Source organism: Homo sapiens, chromosome 6 (assembly GCF_000001405.40).
Source record: "Homo sapiens chromosome 6, GRCh38.p14 Primary Assembly".
NCBI classification, from domain to species: domain Eukaryota; kingdom Metazoa; phylum Chordata; class Mammalia; order Primates; family Hominidae; genus Homo; species Homo sapiens.
Window position 1 is genome coordinate 77,813,721 of NC_000006.12, and position 24,698 is coordinate 77,838,418.

At 34.1% G+C, this 24,698-nt stretch overlaps 1 protein-coding gene across 4 annotated transcripts in view; it reads left to right on the forward strand.

The window, feature by feature from the left end:
• The window catches only part of MEI4 (meiotic double-stranded break formation protein 4), a 276,772-nt gene that overhangs the window by 163,447 nt on the left and 88,627 nt on the right, over window positions 1-24,698 (forward strand). For 3 of the 4 annotated variants that reach the window (NM_001282136.3, NM_001322247.2, XM_005248774.5), the window contains one exon: window positions 15,211-15,342. In NM_001282136.3, coding sequence (NP_001269065.1) covers window positions 15,211-15,342 — 132 coding nt within the window. The remainder of the gene's footprint in view (window positions 1-15,210; window positions 15,343-24,698) is intronic. The other variant, XM_017010155.2, reaches the window with a different exon arrangement.

Sequence of the window (24,698 nt, forward strand, 5' to 3'; positions counted from 1 at the left end):
CATTTTTGTCTGATCAAAACTACATTTAAAATATTATTTTTTATTTCTGCCATTTATTTTTTAACCTAGTTGGTATTAAACTTGTCCACTTATGGTTTTAGAAGAGGCCTGTTTCCATTTACTTATGTCTGATGATTTTAAAATGTCATTGGACCTATCTGTATATTTCATTTTTAATGTACATCAATGATGATTTTCAATAATAACATTTTAAAATTCATCATAAGTAGGACAAGAGAATCTCTTTCCTTTGGGATTTTTAAACATGGGAAGATTTTTCACAAGACCTTCAGTTTAATTCGTTGAAACCTATTATCCAAAAACCATCAGTATACACCTCCAATCAAAGTTAGATGTACTTAGCTCATTGAATATCACCCCAGAGGAGTGATCGTCTGGGGTTCAACAAACTAAGTACATCTAACATAGGGGCATCTCAGTAAGGGAGAGTTAGGAGATTTTGATATAGGGTTTCGGCTTATGCTGCATGACTCTCAGCATAGTTTAGGAAGTGTGAACTGGCTCTAGATTTGGTTACTGTTACAAAGCAGGCAACAGTTTAGCAAATGAATATCTCAGTAATCTTTCTTCAGGAGTCCAGAGAGATAAAACAGGGCTCAAGGTTCATTGATAAGAAAGCAGCAATCTTGCAAAAGGAAGAATTGTTAACCATTTTTTGCAGCTATGCTGTGGCTCAGCTAAATCCTGTTAGAAAATTGTTTGGGAACACCATGGGCCAAGTGGTAGCTGGGTTTATTTTCACTTTCTCAAAGTATAATCCTGTCTATGTAAACACTTGGAAGGAATAAAAACTCAGGATCCCAATTCACTAAGCCAAAAGGAAAGCATTAAGCTGAAAGCTGAATCATGCAAACAACTGCCTTTTCCTTTTGTTCCTAAAACGTTAAACATTTCCACAGGTAGCTACTCTATGTTCACCTTACCTTATGTAAAGTGCCAATTTACTGAGAACAAGAATAATACATAATTGAATGTTCCCCCTACCTGCTCCTTTTCTCTTGCAACATGTGGATTACCATACCTTCCCTTTTCCCCCTCTATCCCACTTTTCCCCTTTAAATATTTAAACTCTTAAAGTCATCTTTGGAGAAAGGCACAGACCACAGACTTTCTGTGATTCCGTGTTTCTTTTCTTCTGGCCATTGTCCTTAACCTTGGCAAAATAAATTTCTAAGTTGATCAAGACTTGTCTCAGATACTTTTTGGTTTACGTACATATATCATATGGATTGTGTTCTGTGCCCACTGTACCAAATAGTGCGAGCTCATTTCTTCATTTTAAGCCTCCTTAAGAGGATTACTGTGACTACTGTGTAGGATTGAATGGCCCCTTGGTGTTACTTTTTAAGCTCTTTGACAAACTTCCACCATATCCTCTAACCCCCACAAGAAAGGGTGCCGAGTAGAGTGCACTATCTCCAAAGTTGCCCTCTCCTCCAGCAACCAAGGCAATCAGTCACACAGACAGGCTTTCTTTCTTCTGAGGGTTATATTGCTTATCACTGTGAGGAGCCAGATGTTAACAAACTTAGGCAAATTATAACTAATATCCGAGATCCATGTTATTAAAGGATAATATCTGTAGCCATGGCATGTGAGCAATAATAATATTCTTCAATTGTTTATCTGTTCTATTGGTTCCTGGTCATTAAAGGGCATAACATTAAATCATAATTTAATAGAGGCATTTCTGAAGGCAAACTGGCCAATATAGGTCAGATACACTTTTTAGTAGTGATCTAAGGTGATATTTGGCTGAAATTAGAGATGTCAGAAGAATGATGAGTTGACTTTTTCTTTTTTGTTAAATATTGGTTGTCTCTGCCTGTTTTTGATAAGGTGTTGGATGATATTCATTCACTTGTTCATTTGCCACAGACATATCTGACCTTGCTAAGTATGAGAACTTAGATACTAGGTAAAGTCTGAGAACTGCAATAATGAAGGCATGTGCTGGAATGTTAGGGTCACTAGTAACTGGTACTGCTGGGTTGGAACTTTAGGGAGTATTGAACTCTCTGGCAAATATCTAAAGTGTTTATATTATGTAGTAATAGCAGAGGATCACACATTTTGGCCATCTGATAACTAAGCAGAAAAACTGACAATTGTGAAAATTAAGAACATGACTTGAATCCTTAGACCAAGAAAAAAAAAAACCAAAACAACAACAAAAACTTCTTTGCAGGGTGCTTATAGGCAGAGGGTTATATGAGTGCTTATAGGCAGAGCCAATTTTTTCTCAAAAAACGAATGTAAAATTCTTTCTGAGAAAAATTTCAGAACAAACACTCATGCATCCATGAAAAGGTATTACATAGTCCCTATTTAACATTTAATATTCAGGAAATCTCTATCCTTATGAGCTGTCCAGAAGGAAAGCACTATAAAATGTACCTCTGGGTTACTTAATCAGCTGTCTTTTTGTGAGGTAATTGCCTATGATATGTTTGTATTCTAGATACTGTCTACTCAAATTATAATTTTAATTTTAGCATAGTTGATTATGATTTGCTATTTAAAACATCATTAGTATATTTCATTGTTTTTTAAAACTACTTACCTGTCAAAGTGTGTCATCAGTAAGAAGGAGGTCCTTATATTAATTTAATCGATAGTACACGGGCATAGTTCTTTTTAAAAAGTTGATCAAGTTAATCAATATAAATTAGTAGGAGGACTGGGATTTAGTCATGTTGAAACTTTACTTTTATTTTTAAAATACATTTCATCCTTTTTTATGGCCGCATAGTATTCCACAGTGTATATGTGCCACATTTTCTTAATCCAGTCTATCATTGATGGACATTTGGGGTGGTTCCAAGTCTTTGCTATTGTGAATAGTGCCGCAATAAACATAGGTGTGCATGTGTCTTTATAGCAGCATGATTTATAATCCTTTGGGTATATACCCAGTAATGGGATGGCTGGGTCAAATGGTATTTCTCGTTCTAGATCCCTGAGGAATCGCCACACTGACTTCCTTATTGGAAAACCCATTGTTGAACATACTGAATGCCTGACTTGTATGTTACTACTTTTGCTTTTTAAAGTAGTAATATTACCTATGTATGTGTTTCTAAAGAACATAATTCAGCTTTGTCTTTTTTTGAACTTTTTGTAAATTGAATTGCAATATAAATATTCTTTAGTAACTTGCAGGGCTTTGCGCAATGTTGTATCTGTTAAGACATGTATCTGTTAAGATCCAGTCATATTATTGAATGAAGCTGTAATTCTGCCTGCATTCATTGTTGGATGACACTATTGTGTGTGTGTGTATGTGTGTGTGTGTGTGTGTTGTTTTTGTTTTTACTTCCCTAAATATTCACACTTGTCAGCATTTTACCTGTAGCTCAATTATATTCTTATTATACACATATTATTCTTGGTATCTCTGAGGTGCTGCAAAAAGAGAATATATAATAGGTATTAAGGGCAGAATTTTTTTCTACTTTATAGGTTAGGTTCAAATAAGTCCCTGGAAAGCAGAAACTTGGTTGAACTTGTTCTTCACAGTACGTGCATACTTGCTGTTTCACAAGCATGCATGGTACTGTGAGGATAGGGATGGTGAAGTTTCTTGAGTTGCGAGGAGCATCCTTGAGTTCAGGATCATCTGGATTTCATCTGTAATATCCAGGGTGACCTTTGTTGCCTGATAGTGAGTCTTAGGGAGATCTTTATGTTTAAACTTTTGCTGACCTAAGTTCTGATTATCATTGATGATTAGTTGGGTCGTCTCTGAACTTTGTGCCTTTTTCATTCCCCATAAATCTGTGTCATCTCAAATGAAGTTTGCCATGTGCCACAAAGTGATAATTAATTTAGCCTTTATAGACTTTAAAACCTATTATTATTTCTCTAATCCTACTCTCAATTTGTATTTTTTATTTTTACTATATATTAAAAATTATAATTGCATATATTTATGGGATAAAATGTGATGTTATAATTTTTTTATAAAATATCATTTAAAAAATCTTGTTCTAGTGTTTATTTTACTTTTCTATACTCTTTCTTTTCTTCCATATATAGGACTGAGTAATGAAAGCAAAGTGGCTTTTAGGGCCCAGGTGTTAGGCAACATGAGGCGAGAGATTTCATATTTCCTGTGGCCTCTCATATTTTACATCCAACATCTCCCAGTCCTTGTGTCACTCACTTAGGCAGTGTCTTACTTCTTTCTGCTCACTGTCCATTATTTGTTTTTTTGGCAGCAACTTGAGCTGCATCGCTCATATACTGCAGAGATTTTAGCCAGTGTATGCAAACCTACCAATTAGAATCTATAAAACAAACCATTGAACAGTTTTTCAATGTGGCATTAAATTAGAGCTAGTTTTGTGTTTTCTGCATTTTTTTGTTTTGTTTTTGTTGTTGTTATCATCTACACTATTAGTCTGAAAAACTTACATTGCTGCCTAGCCTGTTTTGGTAATTACTGTAAGTTTTTATTTGACAATCAGTGTTTAAAATGAACATCTCTGGAAAATTATTTTATATCTAATTTTGTTTTAGATTATATCTGAAAAGTAGTAGAGAATCTTTCAAAATAGAAGCCCTATTTTGCATATCTTTTTATAAGGTAAAAAAAGTGTGTCCCATTAGAAGTATAATGGTATATGATCTATATTTATATCAGTCCAATTGATTTCTGAAATTTGCCTTTTCTAGTTTTTTAAAACAGAAACATCAACACCAGTAGAAGTCTAAAATTAAATTGAATTGATTTTCACAATCTTGCTTCTCTGGAAACTTTAAAAGTTTCTTTTCCTGGTCTTTGTAAATATACACAAATTTTTAAACCTATTTTAAAACCACCACTTGCTTTTCTTGTACCATCATAGTTCACATTTTTTTCTATATTATATTGTAAGTATTCTGTGTTATTATATAATTTTAATGTTGTGATTTGTGATATTTATTTAGTAGATTTAACCTAATTTTACCTATTCGTACATTGTTACATTGTTGGATATTTAGGTATTTTGTTTTTAATAGTGACAGGGTCTTGCTCTGTCACCTAGGCTGATGTGCAGTGGCACAATCATAGCTCACTTACTGCAGCTTGGAACTCCTGGGCTCAAACAATCTTCAAGCCTCAGTCACCGAGTAACTGAGACCATAGGTGTGCACCATCACACCCAACTATTTTTTTTTTATTTGTATGTTTTGTAGGTATAGGGTCTCACTATGTTGCCCTGGCTGGTCTTGAACCTAGCTTCAAGTAATCCTCTTGGCTTCCCAAAGTTCCGGGATTATAGGTGTAGGCCACCACACCCAGCCTGATATTTAGCTTTTATAAGAAAATAAAATTTAAATGTAGACATACCGTACTTTTATTCTTTTACATTATTTCAATATTATGTTCTAATTGAATAGGTATAAAGTGATATGTTAATTTTAATTTGGTTATTTTGGGGTAGAGAACTTTTATATGTGTATTTACCATTTCTATGTCAATTACTTATTCATATGTTTTGTGATTAATCTATATTGAACTCAATATTGTTTTAACTGATTTAAATATTTTCTGACTAGCACCATTAACTCTTTTTTGTCATAGTTTATGGATTTTTTTCTGAATGATTTTTTTCACTTTAGTTACTATTTGTGCTACTAGTTTAACATTTTTATAGAGATAATATTTTGTTTTATTCATTTTAGTGCTCAAAACTTAGAGAAATCATTATTGGACCAGAAACCTAATGATATTTGGTATTATTTTAGGGGAATATTCCTAGGATTTAAAAAATATCCCTAATTTACTTTAATCTGATTAGGATGTTATAACTAACATCCCTAAGTGATACCCTAAGCTCTTTCTTTTCACCCAAAGTTTTCTTCACCCTGTCCTTTCTTTCACCCAATGAAAACATTAATCTATGATGTAGAAAATACTTTAGGACTGGAATTTGGCAGATACCTTTCCTTTATTAAAGAGGCCCAATAGCTAATTTCTTAGGAAGTAATAAAGGCCTTTCTTTTTATTTGTGATTTAATATCACCTAGATATATATCTTAGTGTTGGATTTAGTATGTCAGTTTTATTTGGAACCTAAAGAATTCCTTCTATGTCCTCTATCTGATCTTTTGTTGGTTCCAAGGAAGAGTCCTTTACTTGGAGCAGCTTTGAGGAATTGGTTCTGATCCATTTCTGTTTTCTTCTTCAAGAACTTTTAGCTTTTACAATATCTTACTTTTACGTGTACCTGCTTTTTTTTCTTTTCTTCATTTATTTTTTCATTTGCTGATTAACTATGAGTTTGCTTTTTATTATAAGCTTTCTGAGGACCTAAATCTTATTTTTTTCTGAATGGTTTTCCTTCTATCACTGTGTACTTGGCAGTGTCAGTATCAGGATATGAGTTGTTTTGATAGAAACGAAACTGAAATATAAAAGTAAGTATTTTAAAACTTTAAAATAAATAGACATAAGAAAAGGGAAACAGACCTCTTCAGAATATCAAACACAAAGAGACTCCTGGGACTGGTTTTTTTTTGTTTTTGTTTTTGTTTTTGGAGATGGAGTCTCACTCTGTTGCCCAGGCTGGAGGGCAATAGCGCGATCTTGGCTCACTTTGGCTCACTGCTGCAGCTTCCACCGCTCGGGTTCAAGCAGTTCTCCTGCCTCAGCCTCCTGAGTAGCTGGGACTACAGGCACACGCCACCATGCCCCCCTGGCTAATTTTGTGTATTTTAGTAGAGACAGGGTTTCACCGTGTTGCCCAGGCTGGTCTGGAACCCCTGACCTCAGGCAATTCGCCTGCCTAGGCCTCCCAAATTGCTGGGATTACAGTCATGAGCCACTGTGCCCGGCCGGTTTTCTTTTTTAAATCCCTTTAGTATGGTTCTATCAGTGTTAAAATGACTCATATTCATACATTGAAAACGTCTTATTTTCTCTTTGTTCTTGAAGGATAGTTCTAGTGGGTACACAATTATAAGCTAATACATATTTTGTGACAGTAGTTTGAAGATACTAGATCAAAGATGTATGGCTTTTATTGTTGCTATTAATTATGTTGTCAGTCTAATTGTTCTCTTCTGTTAGTATACATTATACTTCTTTCCTCTGTGAATTCTTGTTGTTTCTTAGGCCTAAAAAACTTTCTTCCATTATTTTTTCCCATGTCGTTTCTTCTCCAGTAGTCTCTCTTAGTTTTTTTCTTTTTCTTTTTTTGAATTCTATTTAAAGATACTATAGCTTCTTATTCTATTCTCTATGTCTCTTAACCTCTACTCGTATATTGCATGCACATCATTTCTCTTTCCTATATTATGGATGATTTCTCTATGTACATTTTCCAGTTTATTGCCTTTCTCTTTACTTGTAACTAATTTGTTTATTATTTCATTCACTGAGTTTTAAATTTTAATGTTTTTCTTTCTTTTTTGGTATTTTTATTTTTCTCAAAGACTTCCTGTCATTCCATTTATAGTTATTCTATATTCCGTATCAGATAAGTGTAATTAATGTCTGAAGTCTTTGAAGGTCCAATTTTTAAAAATTTTTTATTATTTAACAGATTTCAAGTTTACTTGGTCAACTTTTATTATTAACCCATATTTGTCTGAACTTAGTCTATAAGAATTCTGAAAAACTGAACTAAGAGTGTTTTCCTCAAGAGTGGTTTTGTATTTGCATCTTGCAGTTGCCAGAAAAAAAAAGTAGCTTCATCTCTCAGCATGCGGTTTCCTTGTGGCAGACCCAATGTAGATATGGCTGGATTTGCAGATTCTTAAAGATGACTATTAATAGTGCTACTGGCCGGGCATGGTGGCTCACGCCTGTAATCCCAGCACTTTGGGAGGCCGAGACAGGTGGATCACCTGAGGTCAGGAGTTCAAGACCTGCCTGACCAACATGGAGAAACCCTGTCTCTACTAAAAATACAAAATTAGCCAGGCATGGTGGCACATGCCTGTACTTCCAGCTACTCAGGAGGCCGAGGCAGGAGAATCGCTTGAATCCCAGAAAGCAGAGGTTGTGGTGAGCTGAGATCGCGCCATTGCACTCCAGCCTGGGCAACAAGAGTGAAATGCCATCTCTCCAAAAAAAAAAAAAAAAAAAAAAAATCGTGCTGCTTACTGGTATTATTATTATTAATTATTGGGGGTGATTTGTGCTGGCACATTAGATCTTTACCAGTCTCTACATTTCACTAATTTAGGCTTCATCTTAGAAATGTTAGTCTCTCTCCTACTTAATAAAGGCCAAAGTCTTATTTGAAAATTTTGTGCTGGTGATGCTTTTTGCCAGCAGAGCAACCCCAGCTTATTCTTTTTCTGAAAGTTTATTGTCTGATTTAATGTTATATCTGTTTATATTTTTCTTTTTCTTTTGACCATTGAGGACCTCTCTTTCTTTCTTACGAATTCTGCATTACATTAAAATTTGCTGATTTATTTCGTGTTAAGATATACTATCAAATTCTGGAAATAAGGCAAAGGTTGGTTGATTGTCCAGTCAGTGACATACTGGGGCTTCATCTAACAGGACAACCTAATTATTACTTAAATTTCTAGGGGAATGTGATTTGGCAGGGCCCTGACCCTGTGAAGTTTCATATTAACCTATAGATCCCTCTATAATATAGATATAAATGATTCCTGTACAGTAGAAAATAAGTCCTGAGGTTATGGTAAGGGTTTATCATGTAAAATATTAACCAGTTTTGTGTCTAACGTAATGGTCTAATTCTACTTTTTTTCAAATTCAAGATTCAGTTCCTCAAATGCTTTTTACCCTCATTGATGCTATAAATACATTGACGTGTTAATTCTAAATTTGTATGAGAGTTAAATGTTTTTAACATTTTTAAAAGTATCCTTTCAGATCATGATAAGCTGGATTGCATTTGGATACCCCCCCCCCCTTTTTTTTTTTCTTGAGACAGAGTCTCACTATGTCACCCAGGCTAGAGTCCAGTGGCAGGATCTCGGCTCACTGCAACCTCTGCCTCCTGGGTTCAAGCTATTCTCCTGTCTCAGCCTCCCGAGTAGCTGGGAATACAGGCACCCACCACCACTCCTGGCTATTTTTTTTTTGTATTTTTAGTAGAAATGGGGTTTCGCCTTGTTAGCCAGGATGGTCTTGATCTCCTGACCTCATGATCTGCCTGCCTTGGCCTCCCAAAGTGCTGGGATTACAGGTGTGAGCCCTAACATAAGCAGAAGTAACTACTGAAGCAAAAATAATGTTATTTTATTTTTTATTGAATTCTAAGTGATAATAGGGACTAGCTGAGTCACTGGCACATAGATGACATTCAATATTTGCTGTAATGAATGAATGAATACATAACTAATTTCAACTATTATAGCTTCAATTTTGTTTTGTCCTATTCTTTAGAATTATGGCATCTTCAGGAATAATCTCCTCCCTTACAGGGAATCTTAACACATTTAATTATTTTTAAAACAACATTTTATGTAATTAATTACAGCAGAAACTTACTCTAAACTATGTATTTTTATAGTATATATATATTTTCTATGTGAGTGAGAGCCTTTGAATGTTGTTTCTTTTGACTTTCAATTGAGATTGAAGCATTTACCTTCACTCTAAGTACACTGAAATTTTAAGAATTTTTTAAAATAGCTTTTGTTCTACATCACAGATTGGAGCTGCTCTGTTCTTAGAGGGACAGTGGGATAGCAGCGTCTCTCATTCTTGTTTAGTTAAGATGTGAGTTAGTTCCAGTGGTCATTTCTCTGGATATTTCAGCCATTAATTGCTTGCCTATTGTGTCATCTCTACTGTGAGAAGCCAGATATACGTTAATAGCTATGGTTGATACTGCTAGATGTTTTGGTTATTTCTAAAGTTTTATAGGCATGCTTATAGCATTTCTGAGAAGAGAGTTTTTGTACTTTCTTATTTTCCAAACTTCCCACAAATAACATCTAAGGTTGGTTGGTTTGTTTTATTCTTGCTTTAAGCAGAGAGTTATTTCTTGGTTTAGACAATACATTTTTATTATAGAATAATAGGAAAATAAAGAGGTTGAGACATAATTCTGGATGCTTCAGAAAGTAGGAAACACATTAGTGGCATTACTGCATCAGCCATCAACATTTATGCGTGATACCATCTGTCCCTGGGTCTCTGTGTCTCTTTATCCTACTGTCCAGCTTGCTTACAGTGCTGGCCTGTTACAGAGGTTGATGGTGCAGTGTAATAGTTATGTTTCCTTAATTCAGAGTAGTAATTAGTAATTTTTTAAATCTGGCAAGTGGTTGAACACTTTTTATGGATCCCCTATGGACTATCAAAATTTCTATGCCTTAAGAGAAATTCAGATATGATACATTTGGGTATGCAATGGGTTGATAAACAGCACAAGTCACTACATTTTTTTTGATGGAGTTTTGCACTGTTGCACAGGCTGGAGTGAAGTGGAATGAGCTCGACTCACTGCAACCTCCACCTCCTGGGTTCAAGCGATTCTCCTGCCTTGGCCTCCCAAGTAGCTGGGATTACAGGCGCGTGCCACCATCCCCAGCTAATTTTTGTATTTTTAGTAGAGATGTATTTTGTGTTTTAGTTCAACATGTTGGCCAGGCTGGTCTCGAACTCCTGACCTCAGGTGATCCATCTGCCTGGCCTCCCAAAGTCACTACATATATTCTTATGTATATTTTTAATCTAACTTTGAACAAGTTAACTTACTCTCTTTAAAGTATGGGTCCCTAGTATTTAGTTTGAGATTAAACTTTCTTATGGTCTCATGGTTAGGATTAAATGATACAGTATATGTAAGCAGTAAGTACTGTACATAATGCAAAGTAAATGCTTAATAAATTGTCTTATATTGATATTATTATATTCTCATTTCTTGCTGTTTTATCCTGTAAGTTCTTTATGTTTTACTTTATAAGCACCAAATATATTAGACATTCAAGTTAAAAAAAAAAAAGATCTAGGTCTGACTTTGGACTCTACCCCTTACAAGTGACTTTAATGTTCCTGATTCTCAGTTTCTTCACATTAAGAAAAGAAAGGGAATGTTATTATCATTGTTATTGGGATATTTGATGTAGTATCCAACTCTTTTGCCTAAATTCTTAGTTCACATTGTTCCAATAGACATAATTAGTTGGTTTAAGTTTATTTCCTTCATTAGTAGGGCTATACAAATAGGTATCATAGAAAAAGAATCGTTCTTCATTCTAACATGCATCCATAGACAGTCCTTCCATATAACCAATCTCTATCACTTGTTCACTTGTTCAGTGATAATTAGGTACCTCTGATCTCAACTTTTTTTGTTAAATTTTATTTTACAGAATTCAGTTGTGAGCTTGTGGCACTCATATTTTTTCATTATATTCTTATAATTTGATGTATCTGATATTAGAAATGTGTATACATCTTTAAACAAATGTCAGTGACTCAAGGATAAAAATGATTTTTATAAAATCAGAAGGCATATGGTTTCTACAGCCTCCCACATTCTTTTGACCTAACAAAATATTATGTTCTTCTTATTATTTATTTTTGACATCTATTCAAATGTCATCCACTCCCCAATGATAAGGAAGTGAAATTCCGTTTATTAAGCAGTTGCCTTTGAGAAGCTGGTCATAAATAGGCACAATTTGCTCTACATACTGACAGATGGCTGTTATTAAAGGTTGTTAGGGAGGGCCCCAGAGCTTTCCAGATTCTCAAAAGAATCACATTAGTGTGAACAAGTCATTTCCCAAGTCACAGTCTAACAGAAATCACTGGCTGCCCCATCTCCAAGCCCACAGGAGACATTTTTTTAGGAAACACAAGGACCTTTATGAAGGTGCCCACCGTCCCTTCTTGTGGCTTTTGGATTCTTCTGGATATTAATTATCTTTAGCTTAAATCGGGATAAGTGCTTAGCAGGTAGCAAATGTTTTAAATATCTATAATTCTGATTCTTGTTTTCAACAGGTTATAGGAATTTAAGTAGATACAACATATATATGTCTCTATTGCATTTTACTTATTTGGGACTCATTGTTACAGCTTAGAGAGTTTATTTGAATCATCTTGATCTACTCACAGTATCTGTCTCTCTGGCTATTGCATAATCTAAAATTTGATTTTTAAGCTTTTGTTCAAATTATTTAAAAAACATTATAGTAGGGTTAAGTGCTGTGGTATGCTGTTAGAGGAGTGTCTTCAGTTACAATCTATACTCTGTGCATGCAGTTTATTCATCCATCCTGAAACTCATGTGGGAGAAAGAGCATCATATATTGGCCATTGGCTGGGAATATAAATTCCCTACCATTGAACAGTACCTCAACCTTATAAGAGGAGGTCTACCAGTTGGAACTATAAGTACTGAGTGATCAAACAACACTCACTTCTGCTTTTAGTTTTCACTTGATCCCAGTTTTGTTTATACTAAGGCTACTTGATGGAGTATTGTTGTGTATACCTAAATTTATATAGCACCTCTTTCAAATGAGTAGTTCTGGATATACACTTACTTGGTGTCCTACAATCAGGCAGGCACAGTTTATGGCAGGGCTAAATAACATATGTAAATTTTTATTTTCTAGAGAGAATAATGTTTAGTTGACAAGAAAGATATGACTTTGTTCTACACCCAGGGTCCCTCCTTTGTGATTTTCTAATTAGAGTAGGCTACAGACTCCATATAATATTCTGATCAACTGCAAGCACATTGGATCTTACTAATCATGATATCTAAAGGACAGAACTTCTTATTTCCCAACTTAGATCAGCTGGAGATCTTTATATACTACTCTGGCCCCTTCTCAAAGTGTACAGCCTTATGATTACTTGAAATATGCTTCCAAGTGGTAAACCAAATGGTAATATGTTGTCTCCAGAATTCACAAAGGCCTATCAAGCATTGTGTCGTTTTCTTAGTGATAGTAAATACATACTATAGCAACTTGTTTTTCACTTTAGAGGGAGTATTCCTACATGCATTAGACCCACAAACTTCTGCAGAATCCAGGGCTCTACCTAATAAGTGTCAGGGGCAGTGTTGATCCTTTCAGAAAATAACTACTTCTGGAACAACAGCACTGTGTAATTGGAAACACTACCTAATTAACTTTACAATAATTCACGGCTCTTCTCCAAGTTCCTCCTATCTTCTGCACAGTTAATATAGGAAAATTAATTGGGAAAGTGATAAGAATTTCTACCCATTTCCTTCATATTTCAAGACTAATGTGGCACTAAGCTTTGTGAATCCTCTAGGTAAACATATAGGTCAAAATACCTTTGGGAATGCTACATTTACAGGAATCATTCCCCAAACCACTGGGCAACCAAGGTAGCTGCTACTTCTATTGTGATTAAAAGAACCTACATAGGCCGGGCGCGGTGGCTCACACCTGTAATCCCAGCACTTTGGGAGGCCAAGGCGGGCAGATCACGAGGTTAGGAGATCAAGACCATCCTGGCTAACACGGTGAAACCCTGTCTCTACTAAAAATACAAAAAATTAGCTGGGTGTGGTGGCGGGTGCCTGTAGTCCCAGCTACATTGGGAGGCTGAGGCAGGAGAATGGTGTGAACCCGGAAGGCAGAGCTTGCAGTGAGTGGAGATCCCGCCACTGCACTCCAGCCTGGGTGACAGAGGGAGACTCCATCTTAAAAAAAAAAAAAAAAAAAAAAAAAAGAACCTACATAATTAGGTAACTCTGAAACAGCTGTGGGATGAGCCAGCACTCTGACACCTCAGCTGCTATCTGTAGCAACAAAATGCATGCCCTGTACCTACTTCTTTTCCTTGGTGATGCATTTCTAAATCAAGGGCTCAAATGAGTACTTTTGATTGGCAGAACTCACATCCAAAATCCTAACTGCAGAGTAATCTGGGAAGAATTACTTCTAGTTCTCCAGCTTCTTAAATACAGGAAGATGTGAAAGAAAAAGATTATCATGTGTGTTGAGTGTGTCCTCCCATGGTTTGGACCACAGTAGCCTCACATATAATATTGTTGTCAGTCTTGGTTTCCATGTCAGCCTTTCAAAAAAATTCCACTGTATTTACAAAAGGGCAAGTGTCAATTAAAATGTAAGGAAGAATAGAGATTATTTTAATAATATTCATATAATTTTGAACCACATTAATGGTTATATTGTCTTTGTATGAACTTCAGTCATGTCGGGGAGAAACAGTTCATAGCTATACTATGGAAGAGCTCTTTATGATGAAATTCTCTTCTCATCAGTGTTCTCCAATAGGATTATATTAACTCTAGAAAAATATATTTTATTTATAGTATTTAACTTTTCAAGGTTCAGTGAACTAAATTCCTGTTATATAGCTGTGAATGCTTTTGTGTTGTCATCCTAAATTATAACATTTCACTTATTGAGCACTTACTAGGTGCCTATCACTACAGTAAGCATTTTCACAATCTAACTTAACAGATATTTCTCTTCAACTCTATAATTCAGGGGTCCCTCAGTAAGCATTTTCACAATCTAACTTAATAGATATTTCTCTTCAACTCTGTAATTCAGGGGTCCCTAGCCACCAGGCCATGGACCAGTACTGGTCCATGGCCTGTTAGAAACCAGGCCACACAGCAGGAAGTGAGCAGCAGGGGAGCTAGCATTACCTCCTGAGCTTCCCCTCCTGTCAGATCAGTTGTGGCATTAGATTCTCATAGGAGTGCAAACCCTATTGTGAACTGTGCATGCAAGGGATCTAGGTTGCACACTTCTTGTGATAATCTTATGAGTGATGATCTGACGTGGAACAGTTTCATCTCAAAATGATCCACCCTGCCCCCCTTCCATGGAAAAATTGTCTTCCACAAAACTGGTCCCTGGTGCCAAAAAGAATGATAGATGACCTATCTATCATCTATCTGGCTAATCTATCTAAAAGGTAAGAGCTTAAGTATCTTGATTTATCATCTCCTTTATTCATTCTGTATATAGCCTATTATCTAAACTATTATCTTTTGCTATTTCAACTAAAACTTCCATTTTAGCACCCTGTTTCATGTTTCAAAATATTAACTGCTATAGAAAATCTTAGAGCCTAGAATATTATAATTTGTGTATTTTATGGTTGTTCTTGAGACTGACCCAGAATTACATTGATACTTTTTATATTCCTCACAGCATTTAGCTCAGTAGTAAGGTCTTAGAAAATACATTTTGATTTGACGTGATGGAATATAGAAACCTACTCATTTTTATCTTTAGTTTCAGGTGCAGCATTATGTCTCTCAGAGTCTGGTTACCTTGGGAAATTGCAGCTTGTTGAGAAAATCTATTATATCTCTGCTTCTATCAGAAGTAAATGGCTTTGCTGATGATCTGGGAGCCATCAATCAGGTACACATAACTTGAAACTGTAGTTCTCATATATAGTTATTGTAACTATATGTTTTTCTTTCTTTTCCCTTCTTTCTTCTCTTCTTTCCAGGCTGATGTTTTAGTTATTACCTTATGTCTAATATATGTGAGTAATATTACTGCCTACCAAAATTACAGAAAGATACTTTCAGAAAACAGTTTTGAAAGTAAAACCACTTTATAATGCTTACTTGCATATATGTGCCAAAGATGCCATTGGTGACAGCAAAAGAGTGCTTAGATGAACAGCTTTAAATCCCTCCAGGCAGGCAGCATGTTTCTAAAGCAAAATGAGAGAAAAGTGAACTGGAGAGGATTCTAAATGGAGAGTAGTCCTTAACCAGTATTTTTCATTCTGTATTGCTCATGAAAATCATCTGGCTAGCTTTTAAATATCCTGTTGCCAAGTCATATGCCAATCCTATTATTACATAGAGGTCTCTGAATTTGGAATTCTGGTACTGGTATTATTAGAGCACTTCAGGTGATTTCAGTATGCAACCAAGCTTGAAGACCACTGCTCTAAGCCCTTTTATCTGTGGAAAGTCTTCTATATCACTGGTGACAAAGGTGTAGAAGGAACATAAGTCATTCCCATATTTTAATGTTGACACTGGTTTATTACATGTATTCCATTTGACAGCTCATTAAATATTCTTATCATTTCTGTAGTCAAAGTCACAATTAAAGGAAATTAGAGATAGGTAGAAATGTCTTGGTAAAGAGAAAGAACTTTAATAAAATATTGTATATGTATGTAATTTAAATGGCTTTTAACAAAGTACTGACATCTAATGACATAGTCTAAAAATATTATGCAATCTAATTGAATTTGATGTTTGACATGTTGTATCTAGTCAGCAAATTTTCAAATGACTACAAAATGACAAACTCTCTTAAGAGCTGTTAGATTTTTTTTAAAAACTCATTTTCACTGTTATCAAGGAGTAAAAAGTAAGCTATATTTACTAATTGAAAAGGAGCAAAGTGTTAAAATGTATGATGTTTTCATAGGAGTTCCAAGATCAAGGAATAGGCCATGGTAGATTGCAAGTCCCTGAAAATAATTTACAGAAAAGGAAGTACTTGAAAAATGCATTTGAATTGAATGAGCAGAGGGTAACTGAATGTAGAGGCATTAGGCTGTTATTTAACAAGAGATGCTGAAGAGTCTGGGGAAACAAGGTGAAGTCTTAGAGTTTAACAATAGGAAGCAATGTGGAAAGTGAGTTTAATTGAATTCGATTGTTTGGAGGATGTCAGTAAGTGCAGAAAAAATGATGTATATGTTCTCATTTAATATTCGCAATAGCTCCATGAAGCGGTTATAATTTTCACAAACTTTATGGATAAGAATACAAAACATTAGAGTGGTGAAGTAGCTTGACCAAGACTGCAGAAAGAGCATATCCTAAAGCCATAATTCAAACCCAGATGTTCTGACAGTTAAGATACTTTAAAATAATAATAAGAAAAATAGCAATAACACAATAACAATAACTAGTGTCAGGCAGGTTTATGTTGTTGAATTCTGTTTGCTTGTATTTTGCTAAGGAGTTTTGCATTGGCCAAAGGGCAGTATTTAATAATTGGTGCCAGGAAAACTGGATATCCATATGCAAAAGAACAAAACTATATTTCATTTTTTATCGTATACAAAAATCAAATTAAAATGGATTAAAGTCTTAAATGTAAGATCTGAAACTATGCAACTACTAGAAGAAAACACTGGGAAGTGCTGTAGGACATTGGCCTGGACAAAGATTTTTTTGGGTAAGACCTTAAAAACACAAACAATAAAAGCAAAAATAGACAAATGAGAATATATCAAGGCAAAATGCTTCTGCACAGCAAAGGAAACAATTAGCCAAGTGAAGAGACAACCCACAAAATGGAAGAAAATATTTGCAAACTAGCTATCTGACAAAGGATTAATTACCAGAATATATAAAGAACTCAAACAACTCAATACCAAGAAAACAAACAATCTGAATTAAAAATGGCCAAAATACCTGATAGACATTTCTCAAAAAAAGACATACAAATGGCTAGCAGGCATATGAAAAAAAAAAAAAAGCTCAACAATACTAATCATCAGGGAAGTGCAAATCAAAACCACAATGAGATATCATCTCACTCCAACTAGAATTAAAAAGACAAATAGTAACAAATGTTAGTGAGGATTTGGAGAAAGGCAAATGCTCATAGACTGTTGGTAGGAATGTAAAGTAGTATAACCATTATGGAAAACAGTGTGGACATTCCTCAAAAATCTAAAAATAGAACTACCATATGATCCAAGAATCCCACTGCTGGCTATGTATCCAAAAGAAAGGAGAGATACCGGCACTCACATGCTCACAGTAGCCGAGATATGAAATCAACCTAAGTGTCCATCACTAAATGAATGAATAAAGATAATTTTATATATATATATATATACCAAATAATAATATTCCTCTCTCTCTATATATAATGGAATATTATTAAACCATAAAAAGAATGAAATCTCATCATTTGCAGAGCATGGATGGAACTGTAGGTGATTATGTTAAGTGAAATAGGCCAAGCATAGAAAAACAAATACTGTATGTTCTCACTCATTTGTGGTGGGAGCTAAAGACATGGATCATATTGAGGCAGAGAGTAAATCACGGTTACCAGAGGCAGGGAAGGGAAGAGAAGTTGGTTAATGAGTACGAAAATACGGTTAGATAGAAGGAAAAAGTTCTAGTATTCAATAGTACAGTTAGTGAATTTTAGATATAGTTAATTATAACTAAATTGTAGAAATTATAACATTTTTTATATTTCAAAATAGCTAGAAGTGAAGAATTGTAATGTTTCCAACATAAAGAAAAGATAAATGTTTGCAATGATAGATATCCCAATAACCCTGATTTGATAATTACGCATTGTATACATGTATGAAAATATCCCATTTATCCCCAGTATATGTACAACTCTGACGTATCAATTAAAAATGCATCAAAATATCCATTTAAATTCTGTGCATTCTACTATGTGTAGACTGTTCCTCAACTAAAATATAGTTTTTGAAATCCTAACAGATTTTCCAACCTAAAGTAAATATAATTTTTCTCAGTGCTTTTATACTCAGTGTTTTAGCTCACTTTAAAGACTTTATTTCTCTGTCGATATAAAGAATGCTAAGATCTCACCAAGAACTGTCTGAAAAATAGTTTTATTTTTAATGATATAAACTTTTCTAAGTAGTCACTAATTCAGAAAATGATTGTGTATGTATATATATGTATGTCATATTGTACTCTATATAAGTCTGATTTAATTTCTAAGGTATTTGATGGCAGAGGATAGATCTGTTTAATAAAGATTAATGGAGGATTCAATAATAATTATTATCATAAATATTTACTGAGAAGCCTTATGTGTCAAACATTATTCCAAACATTTCATAGTCCATCAAATATTTTGCATATATTTTTGTTTGAAATAAATAGCGATTAATTTTAATTTTATGTTATGTCATTTAATTCTCCTAACTACACTAGTAATTCATATTATTCCCATTTTACAAAAGAGGGCGATTAGGATTAGAGAGTTTAAATAGCCTGCCCATAGTCATAGGAAGTACAGCACCAGTCTGTTGAACCCACAAAGTCTGACTCTATAATCTAGAAGATAAAGTATGGAATAATTTCTGTTATTGACTAACCATGTCAGTTATTTGTATTTCACTAACACCATTTTATATTAATTTGTCTCATGCAACTGGTATGTGTGTTGTCTCACCTACTTTTTAGCAGGGTAAGTAAAGTAGATATTTGTGTCAAGTTTAACATATTTTTTATGTATATTCTGTGACCATTGAATCAGATTTTTGAAAGGTGGTTTTGTGAACTCTTATCCTAGTATCCTTTCTCTAGCTGTGTTCATTTGAATGGGTCTTGTTGAAATTACTTATGCAATGTTGAAGATAAAAGTTTCCTAAATATCTTGTCATACATGTATTTTGGATTTCCCCCTTTATTGTCTTTTCTTTATCAATAGGTTAACATTAAGAAAATGTATCTGCCTTTTTTTTTTAGTAGCAGCATTTTCTTACCATGATTATTGTATATTCACCATCTTATGACATAATCACCGTGGTTTTCTATTTACTTTAATAATAACTTTGAAAAAGTGGCTTCTTTATGTTATCATAGACTGGTGACCTATTTGATTTTCTAAGGGCCTACATTGTTTAGTTATTCAAAAATCTGTGGGCAGAATATCTCTATAAAAAGCAATATCCATGGTTTTAGTAAGTTTTTAAAATTTTTATATGAATTTTATTAATAGCTTATATGTTTCTTTAGATATCTAGATAGTATGTGATTTTCACAGGATCAGCTTTCTGATCAGCTATTACTAGAAGTCTTTGCTACTGAAAGCTCTCATCAATATATGTTATCTCTTAATATTTTACAAAGTAATGTGTTTTGTTTATTCTAGAAAAGTGACATTGAAAAAGAGGTACACATGTTCATTTTACATATGTGGATTTTTTTGTATTTATTTTATTTGATTTTACTTTAAATTCTGGGACACATGTGCTGAACATGAAGGTTTGTTACATAGGTATACATGCGCCATGGTGGTTTGCTGCACCCATCAACCCGTCATCTAGGTTTTAAGCCCCGCATGCATTAGGTATTTGTCTAATGCTCTCCCCTACCTTTCCCCGCACCCGCCAACAGGCCCAGGTGTATGATGTTCCCCTCCCTGGGTCCATGTGTTCTCATTGTTCAACTCCCACTTATGAGTGGGAACATGTGATGTTTGGTTTTCTGTTCCTGTGTTGGTTTGCTGAGGATGATGGTTTCCAGATTCATCCATGTCCCTGCAAAGGTCATGAATTCATTTTTTATGGCTGCATAGTATTCCATGGTGTATATGTGCCACATTTTCTTTAGTCTATCATTGATGGGCACTTGGGTGGATGTTTTAAAGAATACCAACTTAGCTCCAACCTGGACCCCATTAAAACAAAACAAAACCAAAAAAATAAGTACCAGCAGCTGCTTCATCTTCCTTCTTCTAACTTGCTTTCAAGTTCCTGGGGCCTCAATATGCAAAGAGAGTTGTTTATGGAACATTTATTTCTTTCTATGGAACCTTTAGAAAGAAAATGTTTTTATGAAGATATTTTAGTTGTTGACATGGTAAATAAGTTTAAGGTATTTCTGTTAAAAATTTTCAAAATTTATAATAAATCAAAAATTAGTATAATTTTCTCTGTTTTTGACTGGTTTCTAGTTCATTTCATATTATATATTTATAAATTATATATAATATAAAATTATATTATATATTTATAGATTATATGTCGTATAAAATAATTTTATAATATAAATTTATAAGATTTTATAATATAATTTTGAGGCAGAGCTCCTTTTGTGGGGGCACTAGCTGCGGGGGGTCTGTTCCTGCAGACCCCTGATTCGGCAACGGATGAATAAAGTACACTGACACACTCATATATTCTGCTTTGCCAGTCCAGCTGAGGGTCCAAGCCGCTTGCAGTCTCCAAGCTGAGTTCTGTAAACAGTTGCCACTGGGCCCCGATCAGATAGTGAGGCTCACATTTATTCAGTAAGACTGATTAACAAAATTGTGAGTAAACAGCACTAGAGGGTAAAGATTAAAGGCTGGGTTCCAAGGCCTAAAGCAAACAGCATTTGCCAGTAATAAACTTCTGCTGACCCCTTTCCCCCGCTCTCCCAAATAGGAAGCAGTAAAGTACCCGGTAGGACAAAGGTTAGTCTTAAGCCCATATAAGTAAACAGGTTAGTAAGATACACTTCCCACATTCCTTTGTACTTGCACCCTAATCTTTCTGGATCCTACAGAAACCCTGGCTGCCTTCAGCCAAGCAATCTGAAGCTATGCAAACTTTCAGGCGTTCCAAGAGAGTTTTTGACTATTACTATAATTATCTTTTATATTTTTCCCACCAGCCTGATCGAACCCTGATATAATTATAATTCTATATTATAATTTTATAATATACTTTTTATATTATATATAAAATGAACTAGGAATCAATCAGAAACAAGAGAAAAATGGGCTTAAGGATATGAAAAGGTAGTTTAATGGAAGAGAAAAGGCCGGGCGCGGTGGTGCATGCCTGTAATCCCAGCTACTTGGGAGGCTGAGGCAGGAGAATCACTTGAACCCAGGTGGAGGAGGTTGTTGTGAGCCGAGACTGCACCATTGCACTCCAGCCTGGGCAACAAGAGTGAAACTCCATAAGAAAACAAAACAAAACACACACACACACACACACACACACACACAAATAAAAAAAAAAAAAGAAGAGAAAAAAGCTCCCAAAAACAGAAAAAAAGGAAAAAATGGGGAGAAACCTAAAAGGTGATTTAACATGAATGATACTCAATCTCATGGTACCAAGTAAATGCAAATGACAAAAACAATAAAATGTTTCATACTGATTATATTGACACAATATCTTTTTAAAAATTACCTTGAAAACACTATCAGATACTATGATTATGTGGGGTAATAGAATTTATCTATTACCTGGGAAAATTAAAGATGCATATCCTGTAAAATATAGCAAATTCACTGTACTAAGGAGATCTGTATAAGGATGTTCATTTCAGCATGTTTATAATAGCTTAAATTTGGATATAACATAAATTTCTATTTTAAAATATGGCTTGATGTGGTGTATCTAAAATGAGTATTTGATAATAGTTAAAATGAATAAATTATTTCTGTATTAACATTCATAGATTTTGAAAAAAATAATGTTGATCTAAAAGGAAGGATGAAGTATCTGAGAAGGAGAGCTACCCAAATATACCATTTTTTTACAAATTGTAAATGAAAAATAATTTTTACAAAATATAAATACAAAACAAATTATAAATACAAAACATGACACTTTCACTGCGTGTATACTTTTAAAAATTTATTTAAAAAATACAGAATCTGTAATGTTTTTAATTTATGTATTGCATGTCCTCAAGATGCATGTTTTTTGCATTGTAAATATTTTTATATAGAAAAGAAAACATCTCTTTAGGTGTCAGACATGTATTGATTTAAAATGAATCGTTAATTTTTAAGTGATTTTTCACAGAAATGTTTTTCTCCGAGATGCAGTTCATACCTCTATCTAATCAGCATGTTTCTGCGTACAGTAGCCAAGCTATTAAAAATGAATAATGCTTTTGGAATATTGATAAGCACAGGTGAAATCTGAATTTAGAGTATTACATGCATACTTATATTAAATACTTCAGAGACCTAATGTTTACAAAGTAGATTAAAATTCTACATTAAAATAGATTTTAAAATTTGGAAGAAAGCATATTAGCAGGAGAAATCTCAAAAGTTCTGCAGCCTACATCAGGAAGCATTTTTACTTTTCTCTGTTTTCCTTGTAAAGTAAAATAAAAGCTAAGCAATTCATTAATAAAAATAGAACATGCAAATTAAATATTCTGAATCTGGAATGAGTTTATACATTTACTTCTCTAAAACAAACTAATTTTCTATATCAAGGCAAAATATAGCAACAAAATAAGCATTTTTAATAAGATAAAGAAAAGTAATCATAGCTCTGAGCATGAAACAGTTCACCTATTTCAGTTGAGAGAGGAACCATATTCTTTTCTGAAATTATACATGTCTTGATCATATCTAAGATCTACGAAGCCTGGCTCAGTCAGCAATCAATCCATCAGAGAGAATAGAATTATAATTTGCATCAAACTGTGCTCAAGTAGACAAAATAGAGATTAGGGACCCTGGGCATGAACTTTTTTTATTTAATCTTGTTTTGTTTAACAAGAACTTAAGAGAAATTCTGGATAATGAGCCCTGTTTTATCAGATTTGGCCAGTTTTCTTCATTACTGGTGTTTGTAATTCAAATAACTATTAGGTGTAAATGAAACAAGGCTGAACATTCCCCCAAAATACCCTATTGGCCTAAAAATTTCCACATCACTGAATGCCTTTTTGAAACTGCTACTTATTAAGAAAAAATTTCCATTCCTGAGCTCAGCTGGCAACGAAGATAAAAGGGCATTTGCCACTTATAGGCTAGAACATTTTAAGAGACTCTCCAAGGATAAACTAAATCAAATGATAAAGTGCATGAACTTTAGAATCAGATGTCTAGTTAAATTGTAGTGTGACCTTTGAAGTAGTCTTGTCAACGAATCAAACCTAAAGGTTCTAGAATGAATTGCTAACTTGCAGGTAAAACAAATAGAACACGTTAAATTAACCAGGAGGATGCAGTCAGTAAAACCTAGTTTGTGCAGGAAAAACAACTCATTTTCCTCAACAAATAGACTGCATTATAATGAAAAGAAGGAGACAGACCCAGACAAACAATGTGCCTGTATTTTAAATGAGACCAAAGAGACTTTATTAACTTATAGCCATGTATCAGGAGTGGATTAACTGTGGTCTATGAGCCAAATCTGGCTTGCCACCTGCTTTTGTAAATAAAGTTTTACTGGAACACAAATACTTGAAACAGTGAAACATATAACAATCTCCAAAGCATTCAATATTTACTATCTTGATCTTTACATAAAATGTTTGCCAATTCCTGGTATATATAAATCTTATTTGTATCCTGATTTAAACAAACCAAAAAATGGAATACATAATTGGATAATTGGGGAAAATCTGCACAAGTGTGTGTTATGATTTTAAGGAACTGTTAATTTTTAAAACTTTGATAATATTATTTTAGTGATTTTTTAAAAGGTGCTTATTATCCTTTATAACTACATATTTAAATGATTAAATGAAAATTAAAATAATACTTAATCGTTTTAAGCCTCAGTTTATCTCTTCTTAAAATATTGACAACAGTGCCACCTATCTCATACAGTTTTTGGGGGTCTCATGAGGTAATCATATTTGCATTTAGCAAACTTGTCATCATAAGTGCACCATTGCTGTTAGCTGATATTATTATTACTATTCAACAACATATAAAGCTTAAAATATAAAACCCCGCTGACATTAATACACATTTATAAAAATGAATGTTGTTAGAACCATCTTCAGGAGCAAGTTTTCAGATATTATGTTTGACAATGGATGTTTTTTAAACCATCTTCTGTGGAAGACAGGTCTGGGTAACCAGAAATTTTTTTTTTTTTACTGTAGGTATGTAAATTTATGATGTTCATCATCCTCTCAACATAAATATTGGACAAATATTTAAGAAATATTTTGGAGAGGTACTGAATTAGTCTCACTGTCTTTTCTGAATTTCATTGTGTGACGATGGCACTGAGCATCTGAAGGGGATTGAAAGAT